This window comes from Homo sapiens, chromosome 17, assembly GCF_000001405.40.
Source record: "Homo sapiens chromosome 17, GRCh38.p14 Primary Assembly".
NCBI classification, from domain to species: domain Eukaryota; kingdom Metazoa; phylum Chordata; class Mammalia; order Primates; family Hominidae; genus Homo; species Homo sapiens.
In genome coordinates, this window is record NC_000017.11 from 1,758,225 (window position 1) to 1,785,886 (window position 27,662).

A 27,662-nucleotide genomic window follows, 5' to 3' on the forward strand; every position below is an offset into this window, starting at 1 on the left:
ACCTTCCTGCCTTGGCCTCCCAAATGTTGGGATTATAGGCATGAGCCACTGTGCTTGGCATCTATTCATCTTTAATGTCAAGCAGGCAATTGAATATTTGATCAGGGATAGAATTGTCTATTTGGGGGTATGCAGATGTGCTTCATGTCATGGAACTGGGCCGGGCACGGTGGCTCATGCCTATAATCCCAGCACTTTGGGAGGCCGAGGCAGGCGGATCATAAGGTCAGGAGATCGAGACCATCCGGGCCAACACGGTGAAACCCCGTCTCTACTAAAAATACAAAAATTAGGCAGGTGTGGTGGTGCCTGCCTGTAGTCCCAGCTACTCAGGGAGGCTGAGACAGGAGAATTGATTGAACCTGGGAGGCAGAGGTTGTAGTGAGCCAAGATCGCGCCACTGCACTCCAGCCTGGGCGACATGAGCGAGACTCCGTCTCAAAAATAAACAAAAAAAAGTCATGGAATTGATGGAAATTGCCTAAGGGGAGATGTAGAAGAAAAGGGGTCTCAGGATCAAGCCAGCAGAGAAGGCAGAAAAGGTAAGGTGTGTGAGGTGGCAGAAAAAGGGAAGAGTGTGGACAGTGAGGGTTTCAAGGAGGAGGAACTGTCTACTGCCTCCTGCCAAGGACGGAGGTGTCCACTGCCAGTTGACATAAGGTCACCCATGAACTTGGTGACAGGAATTTCAGTGGAGAAGTGGCCACAGACACAAGTCTAGAATTGAAATGGGAGCCGAGGCAGCGTAGACAAAAGAGGAAACTGCTCCTTCCAGAGCGGCTCTGAGCGAGCACCGAGAAATGGGCAGTGGCTTTAGGGGATGTAGCGTCAAGGAAGTGTCTTTTAAAGAAGTCGGGGGCCGGGCACGGTGGCTCACGCCTGTAGTCCCAGCACTTTGGGAGGCCGAGGCAGGCAGATCACTTGAGGTCAGGAGTTCGAGACCAGCCTGGCTAACACGATGAAACCCCGTCTCTACTAAAAATACAAAAAATTAGCTGGGCACGGTGGCTCGTGCCTGTAATCCCAGCACTTTGGGAGGCAGAGGTGGGCAGATCACTTGAGGTCAGGAGTTTGAGACCAGCCTAGCCAACATGGTGAAACCCCATCTCTACTAAAACTACAAAAATTAGCCGGGAGTGGTGGCACGTGCCTGTAATCCCAGCCAGTCAGGAGGCTGAGGCAGGAGAATCACTGGAATCCTGGAGGTGGAGGTGGCAGTGAGCCGAGATGGTACCTCTGTACTCCAGCCTGGGGGACAGAGTGAGACTCCGTCTCAAAAAAAAAAGAAGGTGGGGAAGGATCTTTGAGGGCCGGACACGCTGACCCTGCAGGAGAGGACACATTCTTCTAACAGGGGTCGGACAAAAGAGAACTCTTCTGTATAATTTATGATTTTAAGATTTTTATTTATTATTATTTTTTATAGAGGCAAGCATTTTTCACCACGTCACCCAGGCTGGTCTCCAACTCCTGGGCTCAAGTGTGCTGGGATTATAGCCATGAGTCACCACACCTGGCCCAGAAACTTTACTAAGGACTTATTTAAATGATTTGCTTATTTGTGAATAGGTATTTTGTTCACGTGGTTCACAACTCAAAAGCAACAAAAAGCACCCAGTGAAAAGCCTTCCTCTCATTCTGATTTCCAGTCACTGGATTCTACTCTTGGGATGCAGTGTTTTTCATCTCTTTTTTGTATCCTTTTGGAAATAGTATTCTGCTTTAAAAAGCAAATACAGGCCAGGTATGGTGGCTCACTCCTGTAATCCCAGCACTTTGGGAGGCCGAGGCAGGTGATCACCTAAGGTCAGGAGTTCAAGACCAGCCTGGCCAATATGGTGAAACCCTGTCTGTACCAAAACACAAAAACAAAAACAAAAACAAAAATTAGCCGGGCGTGGTGGCGTGCTCCTGTAATCCCAGCTACTCAGGAGGCTGAGGCAGGAGAATCGCTTGAACCTGGGAGGCAGAGGTTGCAGTGAGCCGAGATTGTGCCACTGTACTCCAGCCTGGGCCACAGAGCAAGGTTCCATCTCAAACAAAACAAAACAAAACAAACAAAAAAACAAAACAAAAGCTAATACAAACACATATACAATAGACAAAACTGTAAATATTTTATTATTTTTATTTTTTTTAGTAGAGACAGGGTTTCACCATGTTGGCCAGGATGGTCTCAAACTCCTGACCTCAGGTGATCCACCCACCTCAGCCTCCCGATAGTTAGGATTACAGGCATGAGCCACCACACCCGGCCTAAAATTGTAAACGTTTTAGAAGAAAGTATAGATGAATCCCTTCGTGATCTCGGGGAAGAAGAGATTTTTTAAAAAAGATACCAAAAGAAGCACAAATTATAAAAGAAAAGATTGAAAATGTTGGTGTTAAAATTAAAAACTTGTTTTAAAACAAGCTTGTGTAACCCATGACCCACAGGCTGCATGTGGCCCAGAAAAGCTTTGACTGCAGCCCAACACAAATTCGTAAACTTTCCTAAAACATTATGAGATTTTTTTTGAGATTTTGTTTTGTTTTGTTTTTTGTTTTTTTAGCTCATTCGGTATCATTAATGTTAGCATATTTTACGTGGGGCCCAAGACAATTCTTCTTCCAATGTGTCTCAGGGGAGCCAAAAGATTGGACACCCCTGCCATAAACATGAAAAGACAATGGCCGGGCACGGTGGCTCACGCCTGTAATCCCAGCACTTTGGGAGGCTGAGGGGGGCGGGATCACCTGAGGTCAGGAGTTTGAGACAAGCGTGACCAATGTGGTGAAACCCTGTCTCTACTAAAAATACAAAAATTAGCCGGGCATGCTCGTGCACACCTATAGTCCCAACTACTCAGCAGGGTGAGGCAGGAGAACCTCTTGAACCCGGGAAGCGGAGGTTGCAGTGAGCCGACATTGCACCCCTGCACTCCAGCCTGGGTGACAGAGTGAGTCTCCATTGGAAAAAAAAAAAAAAGAACAGTGTGATACATTGACCTAAGGTTTAAGAACATGCAAACTGATACTATATATCACTTAGGGACAAAAACTTACATGGTAAAAGTAAAAAGAAATGTACGAAAATAATAAAAATCAAATTCAAGATGGTGGTTATGGTGACGGGAAAGAACTGAGGCGGAAATATAAGGTTGTCACTATATTGAGAAATTTTTCTATCTTTTTTTCTTTTTTCTTTTTTTGAGACGGGGTCTCGCTCTGTCGCCCAGGATGGAGTGCAGTGGTGTGATCTCAGCTCACTGCAACCTCCGCCTCCCAGGTTTAAGTGATTCTCCTGCCTCAGACTCCCAAGTAGCTGGGACTACAGGTGCGCGCCAACACACCTGGGTAATTTTGTTTGTATTTTTAGTAGAGATGGGGTTTCACCGTGTTGGCTAGGCTGGTCTCGAACTCCTGACCTCAGGTGATCCCCCGGCCTCGGTCTCCCAAAGTGCTGGGATAACAAGCGTGAGCCACTGCGCCCAGCTTTGTTTGCATTTTTAGGTGAGATGGGGTTTCACCACGTTGGCCAGGCTGGTCTTGAACTCCTGACCTCAGGTGATGCACCTGCCTCAGTCTCCCAAAGTGCTGGATTACAGGCGTTAGCCCCTGCGCCCGGCCCCTGAAGGAAAATCTAAAGGAAGAGGAAGGTGTGCAAATGTGTGCGCCTTAGGCGTAATGGATGGTGGTGCAGCAGTGGGTTAAAGTTAACACGAGACAGTGATGCAATCACAGAATCCAAATTGAGTGCAGGTCGCTTTAAGAAAGGAGTAGCTGTAATCTGAAGCCTGCTGGACGCTGGATTAGAAGGCAGCAAAAAAAGCTCTGTGCTGGCTGGAGCCCCCTCAGTGTGCAGGCTTAGAGGGACTAGGCTGGGTGTGGAGCTGCAGCGTATCCACAGGTAAAGCAGCTCCCTGGCTGCTCTGATGCCAGGGACGGCGGGAGAGGCTCCCCTGGGCTGGGGGGACAGGGGAGAGGCAGGGGCACTCCAGGGAGCAGAAAAGAGGGGTGCAAGGGAGAGGAAATGCGGAGACAGCAGCCCCTGCAATTTGGGCAAAAGGGTGAGTGGATGAGAGAGGGCAGAGGGAGCTGGGGGGACAAGGCCGAAGGCCAGGACCCAGTGATCCCCAAATCCCACTGCACCGACGGAAGAGGCTGGAAAGGCTTTTGAATGAAGTGAGTGGGAAACAGCGGAGGGGCGGTCATGGGGAGGAAAGGGGAGCTAAGCTGCTGGGTCGGGTCTGAGCAGCACCCCAAGACTGGAGCCCGAGGCAAGGAGGCTCACGGGAGCTGCTTCCACCAAGGGCAGTCAGGAAGGCGGCCGCCCTGCAGCCCAGCCCTGGCCCCTGCTCCCTCGGCTCCCTGCTACTTTTTCAAAATCAGCTGGTGCTGACTGTTAAGGCAATTTCCCAGCACCACCAAACCGCTGGCCTCGGCGCCCTGGCTGAGGGCTGGGATGGAGGACAGCTGGGTCCTTCTAGCCAGCCCCCACCCACTCTCTTTGGCTACGTGAGTCAAGGCTGGGCGACCAATGAGGTTGTGGCCTCCGGCAAACAATGACCACTATTTAGGCCGGCAGGTGTATAGGGCATGGGGGCCCAGCTGCCAGTGCTGGAGACAAGGGCCGTCCGAGATGAACCCTTTCTGCTGCCTGCCAAGCCACTGGGAGGGGTAGGTCTCAGCAGGATTCCCAGAAACCCCGCCCCTGTCCAGCCTAGGCCCCCCACCCGGTGTTAGCTAACCCAACGTTAGCCCCCAGGTTCCGTGGGGTTGGAGGGCAGGGAGTCCTATTCTTGGGGCTGCTGCTTCTGGGGTGTGGGGAAGTGCAACTCCACGGCACCCTGGGCTGACTCATTCAGCTTCTAAAGCTTCAGGAAACATTGTTTGGGGCTGGGTCACCATGGGTGGGCCAGAGAGGACCCCTCAATCCCCTCCGGAGAGCCAGGGGAGGGGGAGGTGCCCTTCCCCATGCTATCTCCGAGGCCCACTGCCATGTGGCTGAAGGCTGTGCGGTTCTGGGAAGAGGGGGAGGTGGCGGTGGAGGCTGTTTGTCTCCTAACTGGGCTTAATCTGAAACACATGTATTGGCTTGAGTTGATCCGCCTCACGTGGAGGCAAGATCACAAAAGCTTCTGTGTTTCTTGATGTGGGCAATTGTCAGAAAATAAGGCCTGACCTTGGCCCAGCAGGGAGGGTATCTACCTCTCCCTGAGCCCTCCCCCGCCTGCTAGGACGAGAGCGGGGCTTGGATACTGCCCTTTGGACAGGATGGCATCATTGTCTGTGGCTGCAGCCAGCCAGCGGTCGCCTGCTCAGCCCATGAGCAACCACTGTGGACAGGGTATTGCGTGTGTGCTGAGGGGCGTCCATGCAGACCCCCACGCTTGCCCTCTCACTGCCCTTGTAGGGTTTTCAATCATCTCTCCTCTTCCCTTATCCAGATGGCTTGAAGTGGAGGATTCAGACTTGCCGTTAATACTCTGGGTCCCTGTGTCTAGCTCGGGGCCACCTTTGGACCCATGTCCCTTCCCTGCCAGGCTCCCTCACCTCACCTCAGCCTACCCACATTGTGACAATCATCTACCACCTGATCTGGGGTTTGGGCTTAGATTCTGTAGGCACCAAGACTAAAGTCGCTCCTTCAAGTCCATTTGAATTGTGACTTTAGTTTCCTTAAATACTATGCCAGGATAATGGCCAGGGATGGTGGCTCACGCCTGTACTCCTGGCACTTTGGGATGCTGGTGGATCACCTGAGATCAGGATTCCAGGCCAGCCTGGCCAACACGGTGAAACCCCATCTCTACTAAAACATAAAAATTAACCAGGTGTGGTGGCGGGCACCTGTAATCCCAGCTACTCAGGAGACTGAGGCAGGAGAATTGCTTGAACCCGGGAGGTGGAAGTTGCACTGAGCTGAGATCGCGCCACTGCACTTTAGCCTGGGCGACAAGAGTGAAACTCTGTCTCAAAAACAAAAAAAACTATGCCGGGATGAGCCTGTCTCCTCCCTTAATTTCTTACTTGGGCCAGAGGAACTAGAACTAACAACTTCTCTTCTAGCCTTGCCTCCTGTGTACCTCACTGAATTTTTGGTCTCTAATAAACCAGTCTGCAGAGGCTCAGGGGAGGCAGGCTCCTGGCAGCTGGGTGGGGCTGGCCCCAGCCGGGTGGAGACCAGCTGTAGGCCTGGATGGTGGTGAGGCCTCTGTCTTGCGCTGCAGAAAGCTTTTCCTGTTGTCTACACGAAAGTTTTCTCCCTGCATGTCAGGGCAGCCACGTGCAAGAGCAGCTGGCTGGGAACGCAGAGGTCTGCGGCTCGAGGCGGGGTTTAGAAAGAAAACCAGGCTGCTTCCTGCTGCCCGTCCTGCCTTAAGCTGAGTAAACTCAAAGGCAATCTTCTTTCATGCCTCACGATATTGTCCAGTGGATTATCTGATTTAATTTGAAGGACGAGAGCCAACAATCACACAACGTCCTCCCAAATTTTCTGATCCACTTTGTTCTGGGAAGTCAAAAAGTGTGTGTGCTGTGTGGGTGGATGTTTGTGTATATAAATGGATAATGAAGGATGATGTGTTGGGGGCCAGGGCAGGGGAGACAACGCTGTTCAGATTCTACATTTTTTTTTCCTTTTTTTTTTTTTTTTGAGATGGAGTCTTGCTCTGTTGCCCAGCCTGGAGTGCAGTGGCGCGATCTCAGCTCACTGCAACCTCCACTTCCTGGATTCAAGTGATTCTCCTGCCTTAGCCTCCCAAGTAGCTGGGATTACAGGCATGCGCCACCACACCCGGCTAATTTTTGTATTTTTAGTAGAGATGGGGTTTCTCCATGTTGGCCAGGATGGTCTCAAACTCCTGACCTCAGGTGATCTACCCGCCTCGGCCTCTCAAAGTGCTGGGATTACAGGTTTGAGCCACTGCGCCTGGCCTTTTTTTTTTTTTTTGAGATGGAGTTTTCACTCTTGTTGCCCAGGCTGGAGTGCAGTGGTGCGATCTTGGCTCACTGCAACCTCCACCTCCCAAGTTCAAGTGATTCTCCAGCCTTAGCCCTCCAAGTAGCTGGGACTACAGGTGTGTGCCACCATGCCTGGCTATTTTATTTTATTTTATTTTATTTATTTATTTTTGAGACTAAGTCTTGCTCTGTTGCCCAGGCTGGAGTGCAGTGGCATAATCGGCTCACTGCAACCTCTGCCTCCCAGGTTCAAGTGATTCTCCTGCCTCAGCCTCCTGAGTAACTGGGATTACAGGGGCCTGCCACCACGCCTGGCTACTTTTTGTATTTTTAGTATAGATGGGGTTTCACCATGTTGGCCAGGCTGGTCTCGAACTCCTGACCTCAGGCTATCCGCCTGCCTCAGCCTCCCAAAGTGCTGGGATTACAGGCATGAGCCACTGTGCTCGGTAGTTGTTTTATTTTAATAGTAGGTTATTTTATTTCCATTTTACAAGAGAAAAAATGGTGATTTAAAGAGCTACTAAGACACAGCACTGAGACCATGTGTGATGGCATGCGCCTGCAGTCCCAGCTACTCACGAGGCTGAGGCAGGAGGATCACATGAGGTCAGGAGTTCCAGGCTGTGGAGTGCTATGGTTGTGTAGTGAATAGCCACTACACTCCAGCCTGGGCAGCACAGCAAGATCTTGTCTCCCAAAAAAAAAAAAAAAAAAAAATTTCAAATGTGAACCCAGGATCTCTGACCCTAGGCCCTGCACTCCTAACCATGGGAGGAAGAGCTCTTGAAAGGGAACTGTGGGAGAAGGGAATGAGCTGCCTTGTGAGGCCACAGAAGTCCAAAGACAGCTTGAGAATTTGGAGGGACAGCACGTGCCGGACTGGGTGCCTCTATGCTTGGTATCCGGTGATTCCATGGAGGAGACCTGGGTTCTGCCCCATTCTCCTGGGAGGGGTTGCCCAAAGTCTTATCACCGGAGTGGGTCAGCTGCCTCCAGGACAAAGCTTTAGCATACACTTGTGCTGGGCCATACTCCACGTGGAGAAGCCCTGCTGGGGCTGGGGCCCCACTGCTCTGGATCTTTAAAAGCTATTGGTTCAGGGGCCAGGTGTAATGGCTCACACCTATAACCCTAGCACTTTGGGAGGCTGAAGCAGGTGGATAGCCTGAGGTCAGGAGTTTGAGACAAGCCTGATGAACGTGGTGAAACCCCATCGCTATTAAAATACAAAAAATTAGCCGGGCATGGTGGCAGGTGCCTGTAATTCCAGCTACTTGGGAGGCTGAGGCGGGAGAATCGCTTGAACCCAGGAGGCGGAGGTTGCAGTGAGCCAAGATCGCTCCACTGTACTCCAGCCTGGGCGACAGAGCCAGACTCTGTTTCAAAAAATAAAATATAAATAAATAAATAAATAAATAAATAAATAAAAGCTTTAGGCTTAAAGGAGGGTCCCCTGACGCAGACAGTGGAACAAAAGCACAAGCTTATGGTATGACTGTGGGCCCTGAGGCAGGGGGAGGGGCGGGAGAACCTTGCTGGGAGGGATGGGCCATCAAGCTGAGGGTCCACTTCTGGGGGCCTGGAGGGGTGAGGGGTGGTCGCTGCAGGGGGTGGGGGAAAGTGACTAGCCCTGCCCAACCCCTGGGTCCTGGCTGGGGTGGCCAGGAAGGGGTAGCGGGGCAGTGCAGTGTCGGGGGAGAGCGGCTTGCTGCCTCGTTCTTTTCTTGCAGGCCCCAGGATGCAGGCCCTGGTGCTACTCCTCTGCATTGGAGCCCTCCTCGGGCACAGCAGCTGCCAGAACCCTGCCAGCCCCCCGGAGGAGGTCAGTAGGCAGGCGGGGAGGGCGTGGTCAGCATTCCCCGCCCCTCCTTGGCAGGCAGCACGGGAAACAGGACAGGGAACCCGGACCCAGGTTCCAGGCCAGGCTTGGGCCTTTATTTCTCTAGGGCTGGAGTTTCTCCAGCAGCAAAACAGAGAGAAAATGTCTTGCCTTGCCTTTCAGGGGATGGAGTAGGGACATGAATAAGATCCCAAAAGAGTAAAAATCTGAAGCACTTTTAACAAGTCCAGGGCAATTCTCCTGCCTCAGCTTCCCAAGCAGCTGGGATTACAGGCATGCACCACCAAGCCCGGCTCATTTTGTATTTTTAGTAGAGACGGGGTTTCTCCATGTTGGTCAGGCTGGTCTCGAACTCCCGACCTCAAGTGATTCTCCTGCCTCGGCCTCCCAAAGTGCCGGGATGACAGGTGTGAGCCACCGCACCTGGCCAGGATCTTTTCTCATTACCTTGTCTTCCTAGTGGGGGCTCCACTGAGCAGGTCATGTTCCCGGACATTTGTTCGGATACTGACCAGGCTGTGGCAGGGAGTGAGGGTATGGAGTGACCTCTCTCCTGCCCAGAAAGGGCGCAGCTGGGTTCCCAAGGCAGATACAGGCACATGGAGGGAAGCCTGGGCCATATGAGTGTTATGGGGTGAGTGTTGGCGGAGGCCCACCCTTGAGGGACAAGAGCAGCTGGGCATCTTGGCGAGAGCCCTGGACTTTCGTGAGGTCAGAGTATGAATTCTGCGTCTCCCTCTTCCTAGCTTTGTGACCCTAGACAACCCTTACCTCAGTCTTTGCTTCCTTGCCTATGAAATGGGATAAAAACACCCATTCTACAGGGCCATGTGGCCACTCATTTATTTCTCATCTACCAAACACCTACTCGACAGGGGCTGGCAATGGGCGGAAATAAAAACTCAGTTCTGCCGGGTGCGGTGGCTCACACCTGTAATCCCAGCAGTGTGGGAGGCGGAGCAGGATGATCCCTTGAATCCAGGAGTTTGAGACCAGCATAGGCAACATAGTGAGACCCCTGTCTCTACAAAAAAGCAAAAATTACCAGGCGTGGTGGCAAGTGCTTGTGGTACTACCTACTTGGGAAGCTGAGGTGGGAGGATCACTTGAGCCCAGGAGATTAAGACTGCAGTGAGGGGCCGGGCGCGGTGGCTCACGCCTGTAATCCCAGCACTTTGGGAGGCGGAGGTGGGTGGATCACGAGGTCAGGAGATCGAGACCATCCTGGCTAACATGGTGAAACCCCGTCTCTACTAAAAATACAAAAAATTAGCTGGGTGTGGTGGGGGGCGCCTGTAGTCCCAGCTACTCGGGAGGCTGAGGCAGGAGAATGGCGTGAACCCGGGAGGTGGAGGTTGCAGTGAGCTGAGCTCGCACCACTGCACTCCAGCCTGGGCGACAGAGTGAGACTCCGTCTCAAAAAAAAAAAAAAAAGAAAGAAAGAAAAACTGAGTTCTTTTTTTTAACTTTCTTTTTTTAGAGACAGAGTCTCACTCCATCACCCATGCTGGAGTACAGTGGTGCGATCTTGGCTCACTGCAATCTTGGCCTCCTGAGTTCAACCAATTCTCATGCCTCAGCCTCCCAAATAGCTGGGACCACAGGCACGTTCCACCACGCCCAGCTAATTTTTTGGGTATTTTTAGTAGAGATGGGGCCTCACCATGTTGCTCAGGTTGGTCTGAAACTCCTGAGCTCAAGTGATCCATCTTCCTCGGCCTGCCAAAGTGCTGGGATTATAGGCATAAGCCACTGCACCTGGCTCCCAATTTTTATATTTATATTTATTTTTATTTACTTATTTATTTTTTGAGACAGGGTCTCACTCTGTCACCCAGGCTGGAGTACAGTGGCACTATCTCAGCTCATTGCAACCTCTGCCTCCTGGGTTCAAGCGAATCTCGTGCCTCAGCCTCCTGAGTAGCTGGGATTACAGGCATGCACCACCATGCCCCGTTAATTTTTTTGTATTTTTAGTAGAGACGGGTTTCACCGTGTTGCCCAGGATGGTCTCGAACTCCTGACCTCAAGTGATTCACCCACCTCAGCCTCCCAAAGTGCTGGGATTATAGGTGTGAGCCACTCGGCTGATGGTTTTTAAAAAGTGGGTCATGGGGCTGGGCGCGGTGGCTCATGCCTGTAATCCCAGCACTTTGGTAGACCGAGGCGGGTGGATCACAAGGTCAGGAGATCGAGACCATCCTGCCTAACACGGTGAAACCCCGTCTCTACTAAAAATACAAAAAATTACCCAGGCATGGTGGTGGGCGCCTGTAGTCCCAGCTACTCGGGAGGCTGAGGCAGGAGAATGGCGTGAACCCGGGAGGCGGAGCTTGCAGTGAGCCGAGATCACGCCACCGTACTCCAGCCTGAGCGACAGAGCGAGACTCCGTCTCAAAAAAAAAAAAAAAAGTGGGTCATAGGTTTCGGCTTATAGGTCACAAGTGTTTAAACCTGGCCATGAGGCCAGGCGCAGTGGCGCATGCCTGTAATCCCAGCCATTTGGGAGGCTAAGGCAGGAAAATCGCTTGAACCGGGGAGGTGGAGGTTGCAGTGAGCTGAGATCGCGCCACTGAACTCTAGCCTGGGTGACACAGTAAGACTCTGTCTCAAATAAAAAAAAAACAGCTGATCTCTCTTCTGCGCTGTCTCTCCACAGAGAGCTCATGCGTGATCAGGGAGTAAAACTCATTCCCGTTTTAGGCCAAACACAGAAAAATTAGGAAGGACAGCCCCAAGGGGCCAGAACCACCACCCTACACAAAGCCGTGAGGAGACAGTCCCTGTGCATCTCTGCGAGTCCCTGAACTCAAACCCAAGACTTCCTGTCTCCTGCCAGGGCTCCCCAGACCCCGACAGCACAGGGGCGCTGGTGGAGGAGGAGGATCCTTTCTTCAAAGTCCCCGTGAACAAGCTGGCAGCGGCTGTCTCCAACTTCGGCTATGACCTGTACCGGGTGCGATCCAGCACGAGCCCCACGACCAACGTGCTCCTGTCTCCTCTCAGTGTGGCCACGGCCCTCTCGGCCCTCTCGCTGGGTGAGTGCTCAGATGCAGGAAGCCCCAGGCAGACCTGGAGAGGCCCCCTGTGGCCTCTGCGTAAACGTGGCTGAGTTTATTGACATTTCAGTTCAGCGAGGGGTGAAGTAGCACCAGGGGCCTGGCCTGGGGGTCCCAGCTGTGTAAGCAGGAGCTCAGGGGCTGCACACACACGATTCCCCAGCTCCCCGAAAGGGGCTGGGCACCACTGACATGGCGCTTGGCCTCAGGGTTCGCTTATTGACACAGTGACTTCAAGGCACATTCTTGCATTCCTTAACCAAGCTGGTGCTAGCCTAGGTTCCTGGGATGTAACTGCAAACAAGCAGGTGTGGGCTTGCCCTCACCGAGGACACAGCTGGGTTCACAGGGGAACTAATACCAGCTCACTACAGAATAGTCTTTTTTTTTTTTTTTTTTTCTTTCTGAGACGGAGTCTCGCTTTGTCGCCAAGGCTGGAGTGCAGTGGTGTGATCTCAGCTCACTGCAACCTCTGCCTCCCTGGTTCAAGGAATTCTCCTGCCTCAGCCTCCAGAGTAGCTGGGATTACAGGCACCTGCCATCATGCCCAGCTAATTTTTGTATTTTTAGTAGAGACGGGGTTTCACCATGTTGCCTAGGCTGGTCTCAAACTCCCGGGCTCAAGCGATCCACCCGCCTTGGCCTCCCAAAGTGCTGGGATTACAGGCGTGAGCCACCGCGCCTGGCCAGAATAATCTTAAGGGCTATGATGGGAGAAGTACAGGGACTGGTACCTCTCACTCCCTCACTCCCACCTTCCAGGCCTGATGCCTTTAACCTACTTCAGGAAAATCTCTAAGGATGAAAATTCCTTGGCCACCTAGATTGTCTTGAAGATCAGCCTACTTGGGCTCTCAGCAGACAAAAAAGATGAGTATAGTGTCTGTGTTCTGGGAGGGGGCTTGATTTGGGGCCCTGGTGTGCAGTTATCAACGTCCACATCCTTGTCTCTGGCAGGAGCGGAGCAGCGAACAGAATCCATCATTCACCGGGCTCTCTACTATGACTTGATCAGCAGCCCAGACATCCATGGTACCTATAAGGAGCTCCTTGACACGGTCACTGCCCCCCAGAAGAACCTCAAGAGTGCCTCCCGGATCGTCTTTGAGAAGAGTGAGTCGCCTTTGCAGCCCAAGTTGCCTGAGGCATGTGGGCTCCATGCTGCAGGCTGGGGGGGTCTTTTTTTTTTTTTTTTGAGACGGAGTCTCGCTCTGTTGCCCAGGCTGGAGTGCAGTGGCGTGATCTCGGCTCACTGCAACCTCCACCTCCCGGGTTCACACCATCCTCCTGCCTCAGCCTCCCGAGTAGCTGGGACTGCAGGTGCCCAGCTAATCTTTTTTGTATTTTTAGCAGAGACGGGGTTTCACCGTGTTTGCCAGGATAGTCTCGATCTCCTGACCTGGTGTTCTGCCCGCCTCGACCTCCCAAAGTGCTGGGATTACAGGTGTGAGCCACCGCGCTCGGCCCGTTTCTAAACAATAGATCATGTGTGCCCAGGCCTGGCCTGGCACTGGTGTGGAGGAAGGGCCCGTGAGCCCAAAGAGGCTCAGAAAGAGGAAGTGGGCTGCAGGAGACGGTGGGAGGGGCAGGGAGGGCAGTGGCGCGATGTGGGGAAATCTGCTGCCCCCCTGGCCAGTGCCTGGGGATGCCAGCAGAAGTCCTGGCAAGTCACAGGAAGATGCTGGCTGGGAAGTCAGGGCCTGCTGAGCGCTAAACCAGAACCCGAGCCTGGCAGGCTCTCAAAGACGGGATGCTTGTCGTCGAGTCTCATACGCTAACCTCTGCTCCGCCTCTTCTCAGAGCTGCGCATAAAATCCAGCTTTGTGGCACCTCTGGAAAAGTCATATGGGACCAGGCCCAGAGTCCTGACGGGCAACCCTCGCTTGGACCTGCAAGAGATCAACAACTGGGTGCAGGCGCAGATGAAAGGGAAGCTCGCCAGGTCCACAAAGGAAATTCCCGATGAGATCAGCATTCTCCTTCTCGGTGTGGCGCACTTCAAGGGTGAGCGCGTCTCCAATTCTTTTTCATTTATTTTACTGTATTTTAACTAATTAATTAATTCGATGGAGTCTTACTCTGTAGTCCTAACTGGAGTGCAGTGGTGCGATCTCAGCTCAATGCAACCTCCGCCTCCCAGGTTCAAGCAATTCTTGTGCCTCAGCCTCCCGAGTAGCTGGGATTACAGGGATGTACCACCACTCCCGGCTAATTTTTTGTATTTAATAGACATGGGGTTTCACCATGTTGGCCAGGCTGGTCTCGAACTCCTGAGCTCAGGTGGTCTGCCCGCCTCAGCCTCCCAAAGTGCTAGGATTACAAGCTTGAGCCACCACGCCCAGCCCTTTTTATTTTTAAATTAAGAGACAAGGTGTTGCCATGATGCCCAGGCTGGTCTCGAACTCCTGGGCTCAAGTAATCCTCCCACCTTGGCCTCCCAAAGTGCTGGGATTACAGGCATGAGCCACCGCGCCCGGCCCTTTTACATTTATTTATTTATTTTTTGAGACAGAGTCTTGCTCTGTCACCCAGGCTGGAGTGCAGTGGCGCGATCTCGGCTCACTGCAAGCTCTGCCTTCCAGGTTCACACCATTCTCCTGCCTCGACCTCCCGAGTAGCTGGGACTACAGGCGCCCGCCACTGCGCCCTACTAATTTTTTGTATTTTTAGTAGAGACGGGGTTTCACCGTGGTCTCGATCTCCTGACCTCGTGATCCACCCGCCTCAGCCTCCCAAAGTGCTGGGATTACAGGCGTGAGCCACTGCGCCCGGCCCTTTTACATTTATTTTTAAATTAAGAGACAGGGTGTCACTATGATGCCGAGGCTGGTCTCGAACTCCTGAGCTGAAGTGATCCTCCCACCTCGGCCTCCCAAAATGCTGGGATTACCATGTCCAACTTTCCACTTCTTGTTTGACCAAGGATGGATGGCAGACATCAGAAGGGGCTTGGAAAGGGAGGTGTCAAAGACCTTGCCCAGCATGGAGTCTGGGTCACAGCTGGGGGAGGATCTGGGAACTGTGCTTGCCTGAAGCTTACCTGCTTGTCATCAAATCCAAGGCAAGGCGTGAATGTCTATAGAGTGAGAGACTTGTGGAGACAGAAGAGCAGAGAGGGAGGAAGAATGAACACTGGGTCTGTTTGGGGCTTTCCCAGCTTTTGAGTCAGACAAGATTTATTTATTTATTTAAGATGGAGTCTCATTCTGTTGCCCAGGCTGGAGTGCAGTGGTGCCATCTTGGCTCACTACAGCCTCCCCACCTCCCAGGTTCAAGTGCTTCTCCTGCCTCAGCCTCCCGAGTAGTTGGGATTACAGGCGCCCGCCACCACACCCAGCTAATTTTTGTATTTTCAGTAGAGATGGGGTTTCGCCATGCTGGCCAGGCTGTTCTCGAAAACTCCTGACCTCAGATGATCCACCCGCCTCGGCCTCCCACAGTGCTGGGATTACAGGCGTGAGCCACTGCGCTGGCCAAATCAGACAAGGTTTAAATCCCAGCTCTGCCTGTACTAGCTGAGGAACTCTGCACACATTTCATAACCTTTCTGGGCCTACGTTCTCACCTTTAACGTGAGGATAATATATCTACTTCATAGACACCTTTTTATGTTGTCTCCAAGTTTTCTAACAGCTCTAGTTCTGTACCCAAGACATGGCAGGTGGCCAACGACATCCTTCTAGGCTGTGGTGATGTGTTTGGAGCTTGTTCCACGGGTCTTGTGTGGGGCCAGCCCTGTTCAGATAAGGCCTTGTGGGGTGGCCTGGGGTAGGGGGAGGGGTTGGGCAAACTCTCCCTTAAAACGCTTTGTAACCATCTGAGGCACCAGCAAGAGCGGCCCCCGAGCCTGGACAAAATCCAAACGGCTTCCTACTTCAAGCACTGATGTCTAGTGAGTGAAGGAACAGCTCTGGGTCCAGGATATTATAGGTCACATTAAACTAAAGGGGCTTGGCCATCAGCTGGCTTCCAGAGCGTCAGCCAGTTACTTCACCTCTTTGGCTTTGGCCTGTTTTCAGCTACAAGAGGACTTAATCCAGAGGACCTCAGAGGTCCTTCCCAGCTCAGACCTTCTTTGACTGTCTCCCAGAGACACTGCTGTAGGAGTGCACACCAGTTTACTTTTCTTTCTTTTGTTTTTGAGATGGAGTTTCGCTCTTTTTGCCTAGGCTGGAGTGCTGTGGTGTGATCTCAGCTCACTGCAACCTCTGGCTCCCAGGTTCAAGTGATTCTCCTGTCTCTGCCTCCCGAGTAGCTGGGATTACAGACACCCACCACTGCACCCGGCTAGTTTTTGTATTTTCAGTAGAGATGGGGTTTCGCCATGCTGGCCAGGCTGTTCTCGAAAACTCCTGACCTCAGATGATCCATCCGCCTTGGCCTCCCAAAGTGCTGAGATTACAGATGTGAGGCACCACACCCGGCCATTTTTGTATTTTTAGTAGAGACGGGGTTTTGCCATGTTGGCCACGCTGGTCTCAAACTCCTGACCTCAAGTGATCTGCCCACCTTGGCCTCCTGAAGGGCTGGGACTACAGGCGTGAGTCACCGTGCCCGGCCATTTTTGTATTTTTAGGACAGCGTTTTTTCATGTTGGCCAGGCTGGTCTCAAACTCCTGACCTCAAGTGATCCACCCACCCCGGCCTCCCAATATGCTGGGATTCCAGGTGTGAGTTACCATGCCCGGCTACCACTTTACTTTTCCTGCAGGCTATCACAGAACGTGTACAATCTAGACTCTAATCAACCAAATCAACGTCTTGCCATCGGAGTTTGCTGGTGAAGGGCACTTGGGGTCCTGGAAATAACTGTAGGCTCCAAGCCACACACACTGAGATAGGCCTATTCCCTGAGGCCTCAGAGCCCCTGACAGCTAAGCTCCCTTGAGTGGGGCAATTTTCAACAACGTGCTCTGGGGACACAGCATGGCGCCACTGTCTTTCTGGTCTCCTGGGGCTCAGACTATGTCATACACTTCTTTCCAGGGCAGTGGGTAACAAAGTTTGACTCCAGAAAGACTTCCCTCGAGGATTTCTACTTGGATGAAGAGAGGACCGTGAGGGTCCCCATGATGTCGGACCCTAAGGCTGTTTTACGCTATGGCTTGGATTCAGATCTCAGCTGCAAGGTCTGTAGGGATAGGGGCAGGGTGGGGGGTGGATGGAGGGAGAGGATAGAGAAGCAAAACAGGGTAGTGGGAATAAAATGACCTTTGAGATCCGACAGCTGTCTACATGTCGCCTGCTGTGTGACTTTGAGCAGGTTAATAACATGTCTGAGCTTTCCTCCTCTTAAGATGGGGCAGGGGATCGTTACCAACACTTACCCTCCCAGGGTTTGTTGTAAGGACGAATAAGGTAATAGGAAATGGGCCCTCAGACTGGGCACCCACATGTTTGTTCTCTTGAGACTCCTATTTCTAGAATTTAAAGCCAAACTTTGAAAAATAATGACAAACTCCAAATCGTTGGCATCTTTTTTTTTTTTTTTGAGACAGTCTCGCTCTGTCGGCCAGGCTGGAGTGCAGTGGCACGATCTCGGCTCACCACAACCTCCGCCCCGCTGGGTTAAAGCGATTCTCTTGCCTCAGCCTCCTGAGTAGCTGGGATTACAGGCGTGTGCCACCATGCCTGGCTAATTTTATACAGACGGGGTTTCTCCATGTTGGTCAGGCTGGTCTCAAACTCCCAAACTCAGGTGATCCGCCTGCCTCGGTCTCCCAAAACACAGGGATTCCAGGCATGAGCCACCACGCTTGGCCAATCGTTGGCATTCTAAGGCTTTCAGTGTACCTGACTTCTTTTAGTTCTAAGTCTGTAACTGTTAACCTTTCTTGGGCCACGGCTATCACACGGATCTCTCTGGGAATCTGACGACAGTGCCTCAAACCCGAGGGAGCACCGCCAGGTGTGCACACACGTTTCTGTCAACGATTTCGGAGACTCTTGGGATCCCTGACACCATCTGTTCCATGGACCTTAGGTTAAGAGCCTCTGTTCAAAGGAGGCTTTTGCTCTTGGTGGGTGGATGGGGTGAAGTCTCCAAGCCCTCTTACGGCCCCTTCGGTATTCCTATCCCCGGTTCTCCCTGTCTTAGTCCAGTGCTCTCTATTTAACAAATGAGCAGTAAATGTTGGCCGATGGACTTTGGGAGAAAATAAAGACCTGAAATTCAATTCTAGCTCCTTAAACCACAGGAGAACATTCTTTCAGCAGACAACTTCAGTTGGTATTAGGCCAAGGTAAGAAAGGCCAACAGCATCCTTTCTGAAGAAACCTCAGGAGATGGCTCACTGCCAGAAAGCTATAACCTGGAAGGGGAATTGTTAAATAGATGAGGGGCTGGATGAAGGACGAGACCAGGGCCCCGTCACGGGAGAGGGAAGGCAGCTCCTGGCTGTGTCTGTCCCCGGCTTTTGGGCTCTGAAGGACTAACCACATGCTTTCTCACTTGTCTCAGATTGCCCAGCTGCCCTTGACCGGAAGCATGAGTATCATCTTCTTCCTGCCCCTGAAAGTGACCCAGAATTTGACCTTGATAGAGGAGAGCCTCACCTCCGAGTTCATTCATGACATAGACCGAGAACTGAAGACCGTGCAGGCGGTCCTCACTGTCCCCAAGCTGAAGCTGAGTTATGAAGGCGAAGTCACCAAGTCCCTGCAGGAGATGAGTATGTCTGAAGACCCTTTCGCTCTTGGTGGGTGGATGGGGTGGGGCAGGGTCTTTGGGCCTTCCACTGTGCTAAGCAGAACGCAAGGGCTCCACAGGCTTGTAGGGGGGCCGTGGATGAGTCCTTAATCCTCATCGTGCCAGAAGGGAAGGCTGAACTGCCTTCTCTCATCAGACTCATTCCTCAGCCTCACGAGCAGACCTCCCTGACAGGCGCTCACAACACTGCCTCTCAAGACGAGTCTGTCTGACCTGTTTTCTCATCTTGACCTAACTTGCTAAATGCTCCTGGGCAAGTCACTCCACCCTCGGTCAGCTCAGACCTCTTCAGGCCTCAGAGAAAGTCAACAGTGCTGCGCCATCCCAGCTTGCTTGCAAAGGGATCCCTTGGTTGGGGTGTTGGGGAAGGCAGGGTTTTAACGGAAATCTCTCTCCATCTCTACAGAGCTGCAATCCTTGTTTGATTCACCAGACTTTAGCAAGATCACAGGCAAACCCATCAAGCTGACTCAGGTGGAACACCGGGCTGGCTTTGAGTGGAACGAGGATGGGGCGGGAACCACCCCCAGCCCAGGGCTGCAGCCTGCCCACCTCACCTTCCCGCTGGACTATCACCTTAACCAGCCTTTCATCTTCGTACTGAGGGACACAGACACAGGGGCCCTTCTCTTCATTGGCAAGATTCTGGACCCCAGGGGCCCCTAATATCCCAGTTTAATATTCCAATACCCTAGAAGAAAACCCGAGGGACAGCAGATTCCACAGGACACGAAGGCTGCCCCTGTAAGGTTTCAATGCATACAATAAAAGAGCTTTATCCCTAACTTCTGTTACTTCGTTCCTCCTCCTATTTTGAGCTATGCGAAATATCATATGAAGAGAAACAGCTCTTGAGGAATTTGGTGGTCCTCTACTTCTAGCCTGGTTTTATCTAAACACTGCAGGAAGTCACCGTTCATAAGAACTCTTAGTTACCTGTGTTGGATAAGGCACGGACAGCTTCTCTGCTCTGGGGGTATTTCTGTACTAGGATCAGTGATCCTCCCGGGAGGCCATTTCCTGCCCCCATAATCAGGGAAGCCTGCTCGTAAACAACACATGGACAGATAGGAGAGGCCATTTGTAACTTAAGGAAATGGACCCGATACGTAAAGATTCTGAACATATTCTTTGTAAGGAGGTATGCCTATTTTATAAAGTACAGCCGGGTGTGGTGGCTCATGGCTATAATCCCAGCACTTTGGGAGGCCGAGGCGGGCGGATCACCTGAGATCAGGAGTTTGAGACCAGCCTGACCAACACGGAGAAACCCCGTCTGTACTAAAAATACAAAATTAGCAGGGTGTGGTGGTACATGCCTGTAATCCCAGCTACTGGGGAGGCTGAGGCAGGAGAATCACTTGAACCCGGGAGGCGGAGGTTGCAGTGAGCCGAGATCACGCCATTGCACTCCAATCTAGGCAATAAGAGCAAAACTCCGTCTCAAACAACAAAAAACCAAAGTATAACTGGGCTTTTTGAAGAACATGAAACATGCCCAGTGTCTGAAGTAGAATAACTACCGAACTGTCCGTAGGACTAAACTTTTTCTTGAAAAAGCTCTACCAAAAAAAGTCACCGGCCACTCCCTTGTCACAGTTATTAGACAGGAGGAGAAATGATAATTCTACTGCCCTTCATTCTACAAATGTTTGAGTGCTAACTGTATTCCAGATTCTCAAAAAGCTATTGCCAGGTATCTCTGGGGCTACTGATTTCCTGATCATAATGCAATGGCAACCAACGGGCACTTGGGCATGGTGAGGGTGGGCAAGCTTTCAAAAGCAGCGTGGATCTGGCATTCTTTTCCACGAATGCACCTCAACTACTTGGCACCAGTGGTAACACAGCAACCAGGGTTCCGACCTAGAGAATCCCGTAACCTTCTGACTGGAACGGGGTCTGGGCTGTCGCTACACATCCTGGTGGAAGGCAGCTATCATCCCTACCTTCTGCCTTCTGTCTCTTAAATCTGAACCACAAACAGCAACGTCCATACCCTCAGCATTGTTAGAATCCCCTGCAGCCTCCAGTTCTCATACTGTCTGTATTCTACTCGCCAGTTTGGAGAGGTCTGGTGGAGAAAAGGAGTCTCTTTTCAGGCTTGACAACAAATAGAACTCAGGGCCGGGCGCGGTGGCTCACGCCTGTCATCCCAGCACTGTGGGAGGCCGAAGCGGGCGGATCACCTGAGGTCGGGAGCTCAAGACCAGCCTGGCCAACATGGAGAAATCCCATCTTTACTAAAAATACAAAATTAGCCGGGCGTACTGGCGAATGCCTGTAATGCCAGCTTCTCGGGAGGCTGAGGCAGGAGAATCGCTTGAACCTGGGAGGCAGAGGTTGCGGTGAACCAAGACTGTGCCACTGTACTCCAGCCTTGGTGACAGAGGGAGACTCTGTCTTAAGAAAAAAAGAAAAAAAAAAAAAAAGGGCCGGGCTCACGCCTGTAATCCCAGCACTTTGGGAGGCCAAATCACCTAAGGCCGGGAGTTTGATACCAACCTGACCAACATAGTGAAATCCCGTCTCTACTAAAAATACAAAATTAGCCAGGCGTGGTGGCGGGCGCCTGTAATCCCAGCTACTCGGGAGGCTGAAGCAGGAGAATCACTTGAACCCGGAAGGCGGAGGTTGCCGTAAGCCAAGATCGCGCCATTGCGCTCCAGCCTGGGCAACAAGAGTGAAACTCCATCTCAAAAACAAAACAAAACAAAACAAAACAAAACAAAACCAACAACTCAGAAGGAGGCATATGTGTTATAAAGTCTTTACTACAACTTTGATTTTATTAGTGGTTGGTTACTGACTCTGCCAAGAGTACAGAATGAAGGGCAGAGAGTAAGGACTGGAAAACTGGCAGGAAACACACTGACAGCCGTCATCCCTGGAGGAAACTGCTCAATAAAACGGCTCCATATTTACTTCTCTGGTCACGGTTCATACTCCACGATTTTAACAAAGGAGTCGAGGAAGCTAGATACTGTAAGTGGAACGGTGTGTCTCTGGAGGTAAGCAGGCTTGCTGATTTCTTGTTTTATAATTCTTTTTTAATTACAATGTAACTACTAAGAGCTTCAGTTCCCACTGGAGTGGTGCACACATCTCATTACTACTAAAACCACAGGAATGTTCCAGGGAAACAGACTATCATCACTGAGCGAGGTGGAATCCAGCCAAAACCCCAGGCTAACATCCAGATGCCTGCAGATCAGCTAAAATCCTTTTAAAGGACTTGGAATCTCCAGATACTAGTTTTAAGTCTTTTCTGGGAACTGGGAGTTTGTACTGGAGGCCACTTAACTATTTCAAAAAATATTCACCAAAATAGGTGTCTCTCTGACTGCAACGGTTTGAGTCCTCCTCAGCCCTCATATCCTAGGCTTCGGACTGTTGGGAAAGTCTTATCTTCCTGACGAAAGCTCAGCAGCAACAGAACCTGTTATTTTTTTGTTGAGACAGGGTCTTACTCTGTCACCCAGGCTGGAGTGCAGTAGTGCGATCTTGGCTCACTGCAGCCTCAGCCTACCAGGCTCAGGTGACCCTATCTCAGCTTCTCGAGTAGGTGGGACTACAGGCATGTGCCACCATGCTCGGTGAACTAAAAAAACTTTTTTGTAGTGATACGGTCTCACTATATTGCCCAGGCTGGTTTTGAACTCCTGGGCTCAAGTGATCCTCCCACCTCAGCGTCTCAAAGTACTGGGATTACAGGTGTGAGCCTCTACACTGGGCCTGCAGAACCTACACAGAATCCGCACCTGGTCTGCAGAACCCACACCCGACCCACAGAACCCACACCCGACCCACAGAACCCACATCTGGCAGCAGAACCTCTTAATATTTTTTTTTTTTCTTTGAGATGGAGTCTGGCTCTGTCACCCAGGCTGGAGTGCAGTGGCGCGATCTCGGCTCACTGCAAGCTCTTCCTCCCGGGTTCACCCCATTCTCCTGCCTCAACCTCCCGAGTAGCTGTGAATACAGGCGTCCGCCACCACGCCCGACTAATTTTTTTGTATTTTTAGTAGAGACGGGGTTTCACCGTGTTAGCCAGGATGGTCTGGATCTCCTGACCTCGTGATCTGCCTGCCTCGGCCTCCCAAAGTGCTGGGATTACAGGCTTGAGCCACCGCACCCGGCCTCTTATTTTTTTTTTTGAGATGGAGTCTCACACTGTCACCTGGGCTGGAGTGCAGTGGAGCGATCTCGGCTCACTGCAACCTCCGCCTCCTGGGTTCAAGAGATTCTCCTGCCTCAGCCTCCCAAGTAGCTGGGATTACAGGTGCCCACCACCACGCCTGGCTAGTTTTTTGTATTTTTAGTAAAGATGGGGTTTCACCATGTTGGCCAGGCTGGTCTTGAACTCCTGACATCAGGTGATCCGCCCACCTTAGCCTCCCAAAGTGCTGGGATTACAGGCGTGAGCCACCATACCTGGCCAGCAAAACCTCTTTAACTTGTGTTCCATGGGCTCCTTTTCTGTGGGTCAAAATCCTCCTGGAACCCTACAATGCAGGCCCTACAGGGGTGGGTGGTAAGTCCAACAAACAGGATTTCATCTTCTGGAGCTCCTGGATTTCATCGTCCCATGGGCCACAGTGCAGCGACAGAACCTCCTCAGCTTTCTGTATTGTGCTCAGGGCTTCGGGTACTGCAAACCTGAGCCAAGGGAGGTAAGAGGAGTTAGTTCACTGATTTGTGAGGCAAATGTTAATTGAGGGCCTACTCACACACCGTGAAGAATGTAAGATCATTTCTGTCATCAAGGATCCTACAATCTAGAACAGTAAGTAAGACACTGTCACAAACACGCTGCAAAACAAAAGTGTGAGAAAACAGTTATAAAAGATAGTATAGACGCCAGGATCCTGAGAACACGAGGCAAATCTCAAAGCTTTTTTTTTTTTTTTTGAGACAAGAGTTTCACTCTTGTCGCCCAGGTATTTGTGCGACCTCGGCTCACTGCAACCTCCGCCTCCCGGGTTCAAGTGATTCTCCTGCCTCAACCTCCTGGGCAGCTGGATTACAGGCGTGAGCTACCACACCCGGCCTCAAAGTTTTCATCTGGTATTTACCACAGGTTTACATAGCAGTTTTCATTTTAGGGTGACCATCTTAGGGCTGACCTCTGACCTAACTCTGCAGCCCTTTTCTCTCTCTCTGACCAAACAGAATGTCTCTGTGTCTTGGGTACCAGGCCCACTCAGCACAGCCTTAGGTTGAAGCTTTAAGCACTTTCTCATAGCCACATACACCAAGGGCAGCTTTACCAGGGTTGGAGGTTCCACCCGGAAATCCTGAAATTGGGCCCTAAATGGTCTCAGTAGCAAAAGTGGATTTGGCATCAGCTCATCAGCGTGCTGTTCTTTCCTTTTAACCTTCAAAGTAGAACAGGGGATTTAAAACAAAAAACAAACAACAGCAGCAAAAAAGCAGGGTTTCTCGACCCTGACACTATTGACACTGTTGCTGGCTCCTTCTTTGCTGGGGTTGGTGGGGGGGGCACTGTCTTGTACCCGGGAGGATGCTTAGCAGCACCTCTGGCCTCTTTCGAATAGATGCCAGCAGCACCCCCCTTCCAAGTCATGACAATCCAAAATGTCTCCAGAGATCGCTTGAGCCCAGGAGTTGCAGGAAGCAGTGAGCTGTGACCGAGCCACTGTACTCCAGCCTGGGCAAGACAGCAAGACCCCTTCTCAAAAAAAAAAAAAAAAAAGTCTCCAGGCAATGCCACATGTTGTCTGGGGGTAAAATCAGCCCTGGTTCAAGCAAACGCTTTAAAAGGAAGAGGATGCAGAGTAGGGAGAAGGCAGAGAGCCTGGAGCTGAGAGTGCTGGGAATGAGACAGCCAAAGGGGCTGTGACGAACCAGAGAACAACCAGAAGGAGAGCTATACTGGAGGGTGGGTGGGGCTGCCTGGCCAAGTTCTCTCTGGGAAACTCACTTGAGATCTAAAAGCTTTCCCCATATCTCCCAGGAGGAAATTCTTTTTTTTTTTTTTTTTGAGATGGAGTCTCGCTCTGTCGCCCAGGCTACAGTGCAGTGGCGCGATCTTGGCTCACTGCAAGCTCCGCCTCCCAGGAGGAAATTCTAAAGCGTTATGTTTGTTAGCAAAACAGAAGGCAAAGATCTCTCCTAAAGAGGAAATAAAGAAGTTTCAACATGCTTTTAAAAACACCATAGAAAAAAAGTAATACCCAGAAGAGCCTAGGAAAGGAACAGTGTGTGCCCTGTGAAGTGGGAAAGGGACTCACCCGTTGAAAAAGATCTGGGCCAATTTGAAGAGCTCATGGCCCATTTCAACACTGGACGGCCCGTGGCGAACCTCCACCACGTAGAGACTCCTCTGTAGATGGGTGGCTGACTTTTGCCAGTCTCCTGTGAGAAGAGAAAAATCTTGTTCCAGAAAAGAACCACTGTCAACTGTGGATGCATATTTTCAGGGGGAGGAAATGGAACGAGAGGGGGAGCACCCTCAGTTTACAGAGCGGGGGGTAACCAGGCAGACAAGGCCGGGGCCACGGCGAAGTGCCCACAGCAGACTGTTCCCGACGCAGAACGTGAAGGCTCATGCTGTACCTAAGGCAGCACAGGCCCGGGCCAGGCCATCCGCGATCTCTCCCACCACGGCGTGCTCTGCCCACAGGAAGCTCTCGGCGTCACGCTGGCACCCCGACAGCCGCTGAACAGCTCGCTCTGTCAATGCAGAGGAAAGACGTCTCACTATAGACAGAAGCCCAGTCCTAGGAATGAGAATCCAGGTCTCAAATCCTCTGAATCAGCTGGGCTGAATGTGGAAATTCCCCCTGGCCTCCCTGGGTTGTCACCAACGCACAATGTCTGTTCCAATAAAGCTGCTGTTTTCTTCTGTTTTCTCTGTCAGTGGAGAAAGGCGCTAGGGGAGGCCTCCCCACATTTACACTGTATTTTCAACATTAACTTCCCAACTCGACCAACTCTACCTTTCACGTACGGCCATGATTTCTCTTGACCCTGAAATCTAAGCTAAAGGTCAACTTTCATAAAGCAGGGTAAATAAAAATCCCATGATGTCAAGCTCTAAGGCAGGGTTTTCAAGGGCAATGGGGAGCTCCGCAAGTCTCAGACAAAAGCAAGACACTCCTATCAGCTGGGCTCACGCCCCACTGCTCTCTAGCAGAGACTAGCTCTGAGGAGGGAAGAACCGCCCTTCTAGGAAGTTACATCACTAGGCCCTGGAATTAAAATAAATGACACTCAACTTCTGGAACTGCACACAGCTCACGGATGTCAGCGATGACCCGTTAGTTGGCAGGGGTACTTCAACTTAGCAATCAGATGCAGAAGAAAACAACAGCTGAAATCACCTGGCCCCTTTTCAAGGGCCCCACAGTAACAAAGCTGGTCAGGGTTTGGACTCACTGGCCTATATAGCCATCTTGTGGCTGGCATGGGGATAATTACATCCAATTCTCCCATCAGTACTGAGTATCCCTGAGTCCAAAACGGTATCAGAACAAATAAAAGGGAAGGGGCTGGAGGACCAAAGCAGGGAGCCAGTCTCACCTAGTTCACCATCTCTGAGAAGCTTCTGGGCCACTCTGACCTGCTGCTGTAGGTCCTGTAACCGAGAGACCAGGTGGTCCCTGCTGACGGCGGATTCTGCACAAGATCTGCTGCCACAGCGCAGCACGTCATCTCCCTGTGGAAGTCAGTTTTCTCTTTATTCCAATGCCAGGGTCAGTTATCAACACCGCCTGTGCTTACATTACAGGACTGCTCCATAGTTTCTTACCTCATGGGGGAAAGAGACTCCTGTAACAATACATCGTGACGAAAGTCTGAGCGAATTTTGTTTGATGGCGGCAATGGCGGCAATTCTAATGAAGTGTATCAGCAGTAGCTGATCCCACCTGAGATTTCATTTTTGGAACAGAACTGGTACAGTGCACAATTTCTTTCCACTTCTATAGCCCCTCTTGTCGCTTTTTGGGGCCAGGACTTTAGATGACAAACATTTCTTTTTTTTGAGATGGAGTCTCGCTCGGTCTCCAGGCTGGAGTGCAGTGGTGCGATCTCGGCTCACTCCAAGCTCCGCCTCCCGGGTTCACGCCATTCTCCTGCCTCAGTCTCCCGAGTAGCTGGGACTACAGGTGCCCACCACCAAGCCCGGCTAAATTTTTGTGTGTGTTATTTATTTTTTTTTTTTAGTAGAGACGGGGTTTCACCGTGTAAGCCAGGATGGTCTCGATTTTCTGACCTCATGATCCGCTCGCCTCAGCCTCCCAAAGTGCTGGGATTACAGGCGTGAGCCACCGTGCCCGGCCTTGATGACAAACATTTCTAGTAGTTATGAAAAAGTCCTCAGAAAACCAATAGAAGGCCAGGTGCGGTGGCTCACGCCTGTAATCCCAGCACTTTGGGAGGGCGAGGCGGGTGGATCCATGAGGTCAGGAGATCGAGACCATCCTGGCTAACACGGTGAAACCCCGTCTCTACTAAAAATACAAAAAATTAGCCGGGCATGGTGGTGGCGGGCGCCTGTAGTCTCACCTACTCGGGAGGCTGAGGCAGGAGAATGGCGTGAACCCGGGAGGTGGAGCTTGCAGTGAGCCGAGATTGCACCACTGCACTCCAGCCTGGGTGACATGAGAGAGACTCTGTCTCACAAAAGAAAAAGAAAAAAAAAAAAAAAAGAAAACCAATAGAAAGGCTGGGCGTGGTGGCTCACGCCTGTAATCCCAGCGCTTTGGGTGGTCGAGGCAGGTAGGTCGCTTGAGGCCAGGAGATCGAGACCAGCCTGGCCAACATGGAGAACATGGCCAACTCGTCTCTACTAAAAATACAAAGATTAGCTGGGCATGGTGGTGCATGCCTGTAATCCCAGCTACTGGGGAGGCTGAGGCAGGAGAATTGCTTGAGTCTGGGAGGTTGAGGCTGTGGTAAGCAGAGATCGTGCCACTGCACTCACTTCAGCCTGGATGACAGGGCAAGACCCCATCTCAAAAAAAAAAAAGAAAAAAAAAAAAACTAATAGAAAAAGGTGCTAGGTGCGATCGTCCTACATTTGACCTTGGGTCTCCAAGTTTAGCTTTCTAACACAACCGGCTCTGCCTTTCACTCATGA

The 27,662-nt window shown here is 51.4% G+C and overlaps 2 protein-coding genes across 10 annotated transcripts in view, besides 5 other annotated features; one reads left to right on the forward strand and one right to left on the reverse strand.

Annotated features, from left to right (window-relative positions):
• Positions 3,836-19,341, forward strand: SERPINF1 (serpin family F member 1). Of its 4 annotated transcripts, none has more exons than NM_002615.7 (8): positions 3,836-3,889; positions 8,679-8,770; positions 11,628-11,826; positions 12,805-12,960; positions 13,648-13,851; positions 16,834-16,976; positions 18,308-18,518; positions 18,963-19,341. In NM_002615.7, exons 2-8 carry the CDS (start codon positions 8,687-8,689, stop codon positions 19,220-19,222), a joined length of 1,257 nt encoding a protein of 418 aa, NP_002606.3. In that variant the 5' UTR covers positions 3,836-3,889; positions 8,679-8,686; the 3' UTR covers positions 19,223-19,341. The 4 variants fall into 4 exon arrangements, with proteins under 4 accessions (NP_002606.3, NP_001316833.1, NP_001316832.1 ...); NM_001329903.2 differs by lacking the exon at positions 3,836-3,889 and adding an exon at positions 4,581-4,659; NM_001329904.2 differs by lacking the exon at positions 8,679-8,770.
• Positions 4,175-5,027: an enhancer, noted in NCBI's record as "NANOG-H3K27ac-H3K4me1 hESC enhancer chr17:1665693-1666545 (GRCh37/hg19 assembly coordinates)". NCBI's record gives its function as "activates a minimal SCP1, AML or CMV promoter by ChIP-STARR-seq in primed H9 embryonic stem cells {active_cell/tissue: H9 hESC(primed)}" and the evidence as "EXISTENCE:reporter gene assay evidence [ECO:0000049][PMID:30033119]".
• Positions 5,028-5,880: an enhancer, noted in NCBI's record as "NANOG-H3K27ac-H3K4me1 hESC enhancer chr17:1666546-1667398 (GRCh37/hg19 assembly coordinates)". NCBI's record gives its function as "activates a minimal SCP1, AML or CMV promoter by ChIP-STARR-seq in primed H9 embryonic stem cells {active_cell/tissue: H9 hESC(primed)}" and the evidence as "EXISTENCE:reporter gene assay evidence [ECO:0000049][PMID:30033119]".
• Positions 11,642-11,751: an enhancer, noted in NCBI's record as "active region_11456". NCBI's record gives its function as "activates an Ori minimal core promoter by ATAC-STARR-seq in GM12878 lymphoblastoid cells {active_cell/tissue: GM12878}" and the evidence as "EXISTENCE:reporter gene assay evidence [ECO:0000049][PMID:35858748]".
• Positions 11,772-11,851: an enhancer, noted in NCBI's record as "active region_11457". NCBI's record gives its function as "activates an Ori minimal core promoter by ATAC-STARR-seq in GM12878 lymphoblastoid cells {active_cell/tissue: GM12878}" and the evidence as "EXISTENCE:reporter gene assay evidence [ECO:0000049][PMID:35858748]".
• SMYD4 (SET and MYND domain containing 4) overlaps positions 21,261-27,662 on the reverse strand; it is a 50,418-nt gene continuing 44,016 nt past the window's right edge. For 3 of the 6 annotated variants that reach the window (NM_052928.3, XM_024450560.2, XM_047435291.1), the window contains 4 exons: positions 26,102-26,237; positions 25,136-25,252; positions 24,811-24,934; positions 21,261-23,215 (listed from right to left, as the gene is read on the reverse strand). In NM_052928.3, the coding sequence (NP_443160.2) occupies positions 23,062-23,215; positions 24,811-24,934; positions 25,136-25,252; positions 26,102-26,237 (531 nt within the window). In that variant the 3' untranslated portion in view covers positions 21,261-23,061. Of the gene's footprint in view, positions 23,216-24,806; positions 24,935-25,135; positions 25,300-26,101; positions 26,238-26,330; positions 26,351-27,662 lie in introns of those variants that run through there. The other 3 variants (XM_047435290.1, XM_011523633.3, XM_011523632.3) reach the window with 3 other exon arrangements.
• Positions 25,631-25,925: an enhancer, noted in NCBI's record as "tiled region #4981; K562 Activating DNase matched - State 8:EnhW, and HepG2 Activating non-DNase unmatched - State 14:Gen5'". NCBI's record gives its function as "activates a minimal TATA promoter and a strong SV40 promoter by Sharpr-MPRA in K562 cells, with weaker activation in HepG2 cells {active_cell/tissue: HepG2 | K562}" and the evidence as "EXISTENCE:reporter gene assay evidence [ECO:0000049][PMID:27701403]".

Bases quoted from the DNA above. Each gene is read 5' to 3' on its own strand.
- SERPINF1 (NM_002615.7), top strand. From the start codon at position 8,687: ATGCAGGCCCTGGTGCTACTCCTCTGCATTGGAGCCCTCCTCGGGCAC. The intron at 11,827-12,804 runs GTGAGTGCTCAG...TGTCTCTGGCAG, and splicing joins CCTCTCGGCCCTCTCGCTGG to GAGCGGAGCAGCGAACAGAA. The intron at 18,519-18,962 runs GTATGTCTGAAG...CCATCTCTACAG, and splicing joins CAAGTCCCTGCAGGAGATGA to AGCTGCAATCCTTGTTTGAT.